The following is a 9,092-nucleotide window of genomic DNA, read 5'->3' as shown; positions in this document are numbered from 1 at the left end:
CCAAACCCACATAGAGGGCTGGAGGAGGACAAGATGCTCACATCCCTTGGTTGGTCCTCACTATCTCAGCACTTACCAGCCCACATTCCAATTGCCAGCATCTGCACTGATTTTCCTGTGCATGTGGCACAAGTAAGTGCAAGAGAACTAATGGCCCTGCACATTCTTCACCCACAGAATGACACCAGCAGATATGTTCCAGGCAATCTCCCAGGGGTTCCCAGTGGAAATGAGTCCCACATGCCCGTAGCGGTAGCCTGGCAACTCGCACTTGCTGTATTGACCACTTCTCTTCCTTGTCTCATTTCCTCACTGCTTCAGTAGACTTTCCTGGGACTACCCACCAAATAAAACACTTGCAATTGCATATTTGTTTCTGCTTCTGGGTAGGTCAATCTAGACAGTCACCTTTATGGAAAATATAATACCTGGGCAATCACGAAAGATGAAGAGGAATCAATGAAATGACACAGGGGAAGGGAATTCCAAAAAGGAGGAGAGTCTGGGCCAAGACACATGGCTGTGATTTGGTGTGAGTTCCACATGAAGGGGCAATGACCTAGGAGTTAAAAGGGCCCCATCCACTGATCTCAAAAACATCTTAACTGTGTCCTACCATAAAGTCTCTCAAATGTCAAAGATTTTGAGTGCAGCAGACTGCTGGAACATCTAACCTCATGGCGAGAGCATGAAACCAGATTATATGGGTTAAAATCCTGGTTATCCATTTACACACTGTGTAAATTTCAAATATGTCCTTAACCTCTCTGTGACTCAGCTTACTTATCAGTAAAATGGAGACACTAATTGTAACTACTAAGTAGTTATTGTGAAATGATGATTATTGTTATATATAACTGTATAATTATATACATTATTATATATTTTATATTATTGTGAGAATAATATCATTATCATTAGCTTGTTTTTGTTTGTAATTATCTCAGTGATCTCTGAGAGGCAAATCACATGGAGAAGGAGACTTAGTTGCTATCCTCCAAGACCTCATGGCCTGGTGAGGGACAGAAATACATACACAAGAAGAAAGACTCTAAGAGGAGGATGGTAAAAGCCTCTAGTGAACATAAAAGTTCTATAGGAGATCAAACTCAAAAGGTTCACACCTGGCTACATTGACCAGAGAAGAATCCATAGATAACGTTTATGTGGACATGAACTTGAGGAACAGGTAGAATTTGGGCAGGCAAAGATCTAGGGAGGAGTGGGCAGGTACAGGTGACTTTGTATAAAGAATAGGTGTCCTTTCATAAAGACAAATTTATGTGAGCCTGGACAGGTATACATGTGCAGAATATCAAGAAGTCCAGTTTCTTTTGAAGCCAAGCCACATTATGTGCAAAAGCAAGAGGGCGGCCACAGAGGGCAAGATGCCTGTGTTTCATGTGGCAGGGGATGCAGCTTTCTGAACATTTTAGAACCAAGGAAACAGAATCTGAGGGTGGAGCCCAGTGGACCAGTGAAGATGTCACTGTGGATGTCTAGATCAGACCTATGTCCAGCAATGTGGGAGCTGAGAAATGAAGTGAGTCTTCTCTTTTATTGATTGCAGATAATTCTGAGAATAGAAAGCAGGTTCACACACTCTTACATCATGTTACAAACCCAATTACCACCTTATATTTTTCTATAAATGTATACACTCAGGGTAACGATGTAACCACATGAGGTTTATAAACAGTGTGGCACAATGTCTAACGCAGACTAACTGCTGAGAGGCACCTGGTAATTGTGGTGAAGATGATGTGATGATTGTGACGACGATACAGTGGATACAGTGGAAATACAGTGATGATGATGGAGATACAGTGGATACAGTGGAGATGGAGATGGTGATGGTGATGGTGATAGTGGTGAAGATGATAATAATGATAGTATGCTGGTGAAGGTGATCATGATAATGTGGTGGTGATGATGGTGGTAATGGTGGTGATGGTAACGGTGATGATAGTGCTAATGATAATGGTGATGGTGGTGGCAATAGTAATGGTAATGACTATATAAGGCCATTCTTGTGTTGCCATAAATACCTGAGGCTGTGTCATTTATACAGAAAAAGGGTTTAATTGGCTCAAAATTGTATAGGCTATACCAGTATGTCTCCAGCATCTATTTCTGGTGAGGGCCTAAGGAAATTTACAGTCATGTGTGATGGAAGGTGAAATGGGAGCAGGCATGTCATATAATAACAGAGAGAGCAAGACAGAGAGAGAAGGAAGTGCCACACTCTTTTAAACACCCAGATCACTCAGGAACTCAAAACGAGAATGCACTCATTACCATGGGGTGGTGCTAAGCCATTCGTGAGGGATCTGCCTCCATGATCCAATCACCTTCCACTAGGTCCCACTACCAACATTGGGAATTATATTTCAACATGGTATTTGGAGGGGATAAACATCCAAACTATATCAGTGATGGTGGTGATGGTGATGATGGTCATGGTGAGAACGCTTGTGATAATGGTGACGGTGAGAATAATGATGGTGCTGGTGGTGTTGGTGATGGTAGTGGTGACTGGCAATAATAATGGTAATCATGGGGGTGATGGTAGTGATGATAGTGGTGATGGTGGTGAGGATGGTTGTGATGCTGATGGTGTTGATGGTACTGATGGTGATGGTGTTTATGTTATTTGTGGTGATGATGATGGTGTTTGTGATTGCGATGGTGGTAATTGTGATGATAGTAGTGGAGGTGATGCTGATGGCGGCAGTGTTGATAATGGAGATGCTGGTGGTGGTAGTGATGATGATGATGGTGATGGTGATGATGTTAGCATTGGTAGAATGATGGTGATAATGATCAGAATGGTTATGGTAGTGGTGGTGGTGCTGACAAAAATGATAATGGTGAAAGTGATGGCAGTGATGGTAATAATATGATGTTAATGAGAAAATATCAAGCTCTTTGGAGCAGAGTGTAAGCACCAGGTCTGAGCAGGTGGAAGTCAGGGGGGATTCCTCTGTTTGCAGATTCATCAGATCAAGACTCAGGTGAATCTTCTCTTCAGACACCTTACATTGGATGGGAAAGTGTGTCTGTTACAAATGGACCACATACTCTTTTTTAAAAGTTATGTTTTATTGTTATATGTTTAGCATGTACAAGTGAAGGTTTCTTACATGCATACATTGTGTGGTGGTAAAGTCGGGCTTTTAATGAACCAAGCACCCACATGATGAACATTGTACCTAATGGGCTATTTTTCAACCCTCAACCCCTGCCAACCTCCCACCTTTTGTAATCTCCAATGTCCATTATTCCATTATGTATGTCCATATGTACTCATGGTTTAGCCCCTATCTATAAATGAAAACATGCAGTATTTGACTTTATTTTTCTGAGTTACTTTAGATTATGGCCTTTGATTTCCACCATATTGCTATAAAATACATGATTTTATTTTATTTTATTTTATTATTATTATACTTTAAGTTTTAGGGTACATGTGCACAACGTGCAGGTTTTGTTACTTAGGTATACATGTGCCATGTTGGTGTGCTGCACCCATTAACTCGTCATTTAGGATTAGGTATATCTTTTTAATGGCTGAGTGTTGTTTCATTATAGATGGATAGAGAGAGAGATAATATACATATGTATGTATGTATATCTCACACTTTCTTTATCCTATTCTTTATTAATGGACACTTAGGTTGATTCCATATCTTTGCTACTATTAATAGTGTTGTGATAAAAATACAAGTGCAGGTGCCTTTTTTATATAATAATTTCTTTTCCTTTGGGTAGATACCCAGAAGTGAGATTCCTGAATAAAAGGGTAGTTCTATTTTCAATTCTTTAAGAAGTCTCCATACTGTTCTTCATAGGAGTCGTACTAATTTATATTTCCATCAGCAGTGCATAAGTGTTATCTTTACATCCTTGCCAATATCTGTTGTTTTTAGACTTTTTAATAGTAGCCATTCTGACTAGTGTAAGATGGTATCCCATTGTGGTTTTAATTTGCATTGCTCTGATGATTACTGATGTTGAGTATTTTTTCATATTTTGTTGGCTGTTTGTATGTTTGTATGGCTTTTTTTTTTATTTTGAGACAGAGTCCTTGTAGATGCTGGATATTAGCCCATTGTCAGATGCATAGTTTGCAAATATTTTTTCCCCAATCTTAGGTTGTCCATTTACTCTATTGATTTTGCTGTAGTAATAGTTGTTATTGTTGTTTGTTTCTTTTTTTTCTTTCTTTCTTTTTTTTTTTTGAGACAGGGTCTTTCTTAGTTTTCCAGGCTATAGTGCAGTGATGTGATCATAGCTAACTGCAGCCTCTAACTTCTGGACTCAAGTGAGCCTCCTGCTTCAGCCTCCAGAGTAGCTAGGACTACAGGTGCTAGCCACCAGGCCTGGCTAATTTCTCATTTTTTTTTAGAGATGAGGTCTCACTATATTATCCAGGCTGGTTTCGAACTTATGGCCTCAAGAAATACTTCAAACTCAGCCTCACAAACTGATGGTATTATAGGTGGAGTCCACTATGTCAGGACCATTGATTATTTCTTTTGCTGTGCAGAAGCTCTTTAGTTTTATTAAGTTTCATTTGCCTATTTTTGTTTTTGTTATGTCCTTTTGAGGACTTGCTCATAAATTCTTTTCCTAGTCCAATGTCCAAAAGATGTTCCTAAGTTTTCTTGTAGGATTTTTTAATAGTTTTGTCTCTTATGTTGATGTCTTTAACCCATGTTAAGCTAATTTTTGTATATGGTGAGAGGCTTGGGTCTAGTTTCATTCTTCTGCATATGGCTGTCCAATTTTCCCAGTGCCATTTATTGAAGAGGGTGTCATTTCCCCAGTGTACATTTTTACTGACTTTGTCTAAGATAAGTTGGTTGTAGGTATGTGGCTTCATTTCTACATTCTCTACTCTGTTTCACTGATTCATATGTCTATTTTTATACCAGTACCATGCTGTTTTGATTACTGTAGCATTGTAGTATAATTTGAAATGAGGTGATGTGGTATCTCCAGCTTTGCTCTTTTGCTTAGACTTGCTCTGGCTATTCGAGTTCTTTTTTGGTTCCATGTAAATTTTAGAATTGTTTTCTTCTAATTTTGTGGAAAATAATACTGCTGATTTGATAGGAATTGCATTGAATCTGTAGATTGCTCTGGGCACTGAGGTCATTCTAACTATAATGATTATTCCAATCAATTAGCATATAATGGTTTTCAATTTCTTTGTGCTATCTATGATTTCTTTCCTCAGTATTTTGTAGTTCTCATTTGTAGTTCTGCTTAAATATATTCCTAGGTATTTCATTAGTTTTTGATAGCGACTATAAATGGGATTGCTTCTTGACTTGGTTCTCAGCTACATTGCTATTGGTGTGTAGAAACTCCAATGATTTCTGTACATTAATTTTGTATCTTGAAACTTTTTACCAAATTTAACAAATCTAAGAGATTTTTGGTGAAGTATTTAGGGTTTTCTAGATATAAGAACATATCATCAGTGAACAAGGGTAATTTCACTTCCTCTTTTCCCATTAGGATGCCTTTCTTGACTTGTTCCAGTTGGTAGAGTGAATGAATTCAACTTTCCCCCATTAAATATGATGTTGACTATGAGTTTGTCATTTATGGCCTTTATTATGTTGAGGGATGTTCTTTCTATGTCTAGTTTGTTAACAGTTTTTTTGTCATGAGTGATGCTGAACTTTTATCAAATGCTTTTTCTGCCTCTATGATATGATCATGATTTCGTTGTTAATTTTGTTTATGGGATCATGTATTTTGTTAATCAGAGGAATAAAAGCAGATTTTTTCCCCTGGAATTCATGCCTCTGACCCCTAGATATTACCATGAACAAGAAGGAGATGGGTAGCTTCAGAAAAGAGGGAGGGAAGGAAGAGAAAGAATGCCAAAAAAGGGGTGAGAGGAGAAAGAGTGGAAGAGAGGACAGAAACCAGGCTTGGCTATAGTGTCACAGGATATTTACAGTGTCACTTTGCCAACTGGAAACTTCTGTGCCTCGTGACACCTCTACTCAGGTTTTGCTTGCACCCACTGGGCTCATTCCACCCACTTGGTCTGTCAGGCTGTGCTCAGCTCACACTGTGGCCCAGATTCCACACCTGCCAAGGGTGAGCCAGGTGCAGAGTGGTCAGGGGTGTGTAAGCAAATGAGCATTGGGTCAGGCCACTGTGCAGAGCCAGACATGTTGACTGCAGTGGGGCAGGCAGCTCCAGTTGCTGGCATAGGCACTGGCTCTGTGTGGGGCTTTGGCTGGACCAGACGTACTGCAAGTGGCTTCCACTGCAGGCACCAGCATCTGGACAAGGGGAATGTGGTGGCACCTGAAAGCTTGGAGATGCCAGGAACCACAGAGCCCCAAACAGGGTGTTAAAGCATATCACAGCCCTGGCTCCCAGAATGGCCACAGCTTTTCTCTCCTCATCACCACAGTGTGGTGAGTTGGGGGGTGTTTCAGCCCTTACAGCTCTTGCAGTCTCGCCATTTGGCAGGTCCTGAGTTCCTGTCCCACGTCCAGGAGGAATGGGGTATGCGTACAAGTGGAGGGTGAGCAAGGTGGAGAGGCGCTTCATTGAGTGACAGAACAGCTCTCAGGAGACCCAAGATGGGTAGTTCCTTTCTGCAAGCAGGTCAGCCCCAGGAGTGTCCAGCTCTCAGTGGAAAGGAGAACCATGGTGTATAGCTCCTTTCCACAAACAGGTTGTCCCAAGGAGTTGAGGAGACCTGAAGTGGGTAGCTCCTTCCCACAGCTGGTAGTCCTGATGTCTGGCTGAGTCTGGCTGAGTCTGGGGTTTTTATAGGCTCCGAATGAAGGAAGTGTGTGCTGATTGGTCCATGGGCAGGTGCAAAAAAAGTACCATAAGTTTTCACTCTGGACCACGGCTTCCACCCAGAACTGACACCCTGGTTCCAAGGCTTCAGGCTGTCCCTGGCTTGAAGGTGGGAATTCACCAGGTATCCACCCCTTTCTGTCCAGGAACCTGTCTGCCTCCCACCATCAACATGCCGTCCATGGTGCCCAGGCTGTTCATATTGAACAGTGCCTGCAAGCCCATGCTGAGCTGCACTCAGCCCCCACCAGCAGCCCTCCCATGCTAGTCAGCTCCCACAGTCCAGAGGGGGCTGAAGTGGCAGAGGGCTGGCCACTCCAGCACTGACAGCACTGCCCCAAGTGCACAAACACCCAGCTGGGTCATGACCGCTCCCAGGCTCAGCTACAACTTTGCTCTGCTGCAGAGCAGGTGCCAGGAGCAGGGACAGGCCAGGTAGCAGGAGCAGGCACTTCTGAACCTGTCAGGGCTGGGGACTTTCTGGGCCCTGAGAGCACAGGGATGCCCAGGTCTGGAGCTGCAGCTGGGTGACCACAGCTATGCCTGGGAGCATGGGGCTCCCACCTGTTCCTGGCCCCCACCAGCTCTGGGGAGCATGCAGCCCCAGCCACACCTCTCCTGCTGCAGCTGGCATCCTCACAGTAGCTGCTCTAGATGGGCCACTGTCACCATCAATAGGGGTATCCACACTTTCATTGTCACCTGCCTTGTGAAGGTCTAGCAGGGGCAGTGGGGAGAGCTGCAGAAATAGGAGGTTGTACCATCCACTGTCAATTGCTCTAATCAATAAAACCCTGCATGCCCAGGCAGCCTAGAGTAGCAAGGATAGAGCCAAGCAGAGGGAACTCTGCAGAACCCAGAACAGCACTAGGGAAGTATTTAGTTTGCAAAGCTTGTTCCTCCAAGGCAGACCCTATGTCAACCCCAGGACTACCTTCAGAGCCTGCTCTCTAGCATGAGGTTGGAGTAGCTGGTGCCCGAGAGGCTGGTCATCCGTGGGTGAATGCTTCCCTCTGGTGGTAACTATGGTGAAGTGGAGGATGCACGCTCCACCTTGCAGAGGTTCTCTGCAAACTCATGAACTGAGCAGAATTTACAGGGCAGGTGGCTGTGGGAGCAGGAATTGCCCTTTAGCTTTGTGGTTTATCTGCCACCTTGGAGGATTTTCTTCTTGTCTTTATCTTTGCATTTGATATTTCAGCATATCATTCTCTCCTTTATTATGTGGGAGGGGGTTGCCCACTCTGCAAGCCTCTTCCCTCCTTAGTTCCCCTGACACCCTCCATCTCTCAGGGCCCAGTGGCTCACCCTTCCCTGCCAACTCTGGCACAGCCCAAGGGTTCTTCTCAGACACCTTCCATGCCACAAGTTGCAGACTGTAGGTTCCTGTAGTCCGTGGTATTTGAGACTAATAATTGCAAATATTTTGATTTTCCAAATATGATTGGCAAAGGAAAAGTTCTACGATCACTATTCCATAATAGAAAGTCATTTTGGTGCCACCCAAAATGAGGCATTGTGAAAATGAAGGATGCCCTGCCCTGCACTCTAGTGAAACCTGACCCCTAGGCTGGATATGAAACTAGCCCAATTGTCCCATAAAACTTGTATTTATGGTTTCTTTTGAATGAACATAGAAATTGGCCCTCTGCCTCTTAAAACTTGAGAAACTTACATTTGTCTTATCTGAGTTCCTTAAGAAACGCACCTTCAGCATCAAGGAACGGAAACTCACCAGATCACCATTCCAGACAATGAGATGCCAGATTCCTCAACCATCATGACTTCTGCTCACCAATTCCTCTTCCTTGACCCTCCCCAATTCCTGTTTTCCTGCAAGTAGTTACATTTCTTCTCTACTATATAAACCCCTTATTTTAGTGGGTAAGAACAATGATTTGAGACTGGCCTCCCATCTCCTCTGCTGTGGCACCCAATGAAAGCCCTCTCCCTGGCAATGCTGGTTGTCTCCATGTTTGACTTTCTGTGCAAGGAGTAACGGAACTTAGATGGAACCCCCTGCATTTTGGTACCAGATTTTGGTTTCCTCACCAGGAAAGTGTTGCTCATGGCTCGGCTATGTGGGGAAGGAGACTTTTGGAAGATTCCCTAAGCTGCTGCCCATCTACTTTTGGCTGGAGGTGGGTTTCAGTCTCCATATGGCCCCACCGCTCCTCGCCCCAATCGGGTTTCTGACTGCCTAGGAAGAACAGCCTTTGAAATCTGACATCTGTGTCCAGATGGGTGAGTGT

General features: G+C 43.3%; 1 annotated feature.

The window, feature by feature from the left end:
• Positions 6,788 to 7,288: an enhancer, noted in NCBI's record as "H3K4me1 hESC enhancer chr20:23918707-23919207 (GRCh37/hg19 assembly coordinates)". NCBI's record gives its function as "activates a minimal SCP1, AML or CMV promoter by ChIP-STARR-seq in primed H9 embryonic stem cells {active_cell/tissue: H9 hESC(primed)}" and the evidence as "EXISTENCE:reporter gene assay evidence [ECO:0000049][PMID:30033119]".

The sequence above is a fragment of the Homo sapiens genome, chromosome 20 (genome assembly GCF_000001405.40).
Source record: "Homo sapiens chromosome 20, GRCh38.p14 Primary Assembly".
In the NCBI taxonomy this organism is placed as follows: Eukaryota; Metazoa; Chordata; class Mammalia; order Primates; family Hominidae; genus Homo; species Homo sapiens.
Note: the sequence above shows the minus strand (reverse complement) of the source record. Positions and strands in the feature narration are given on the sequence as shown.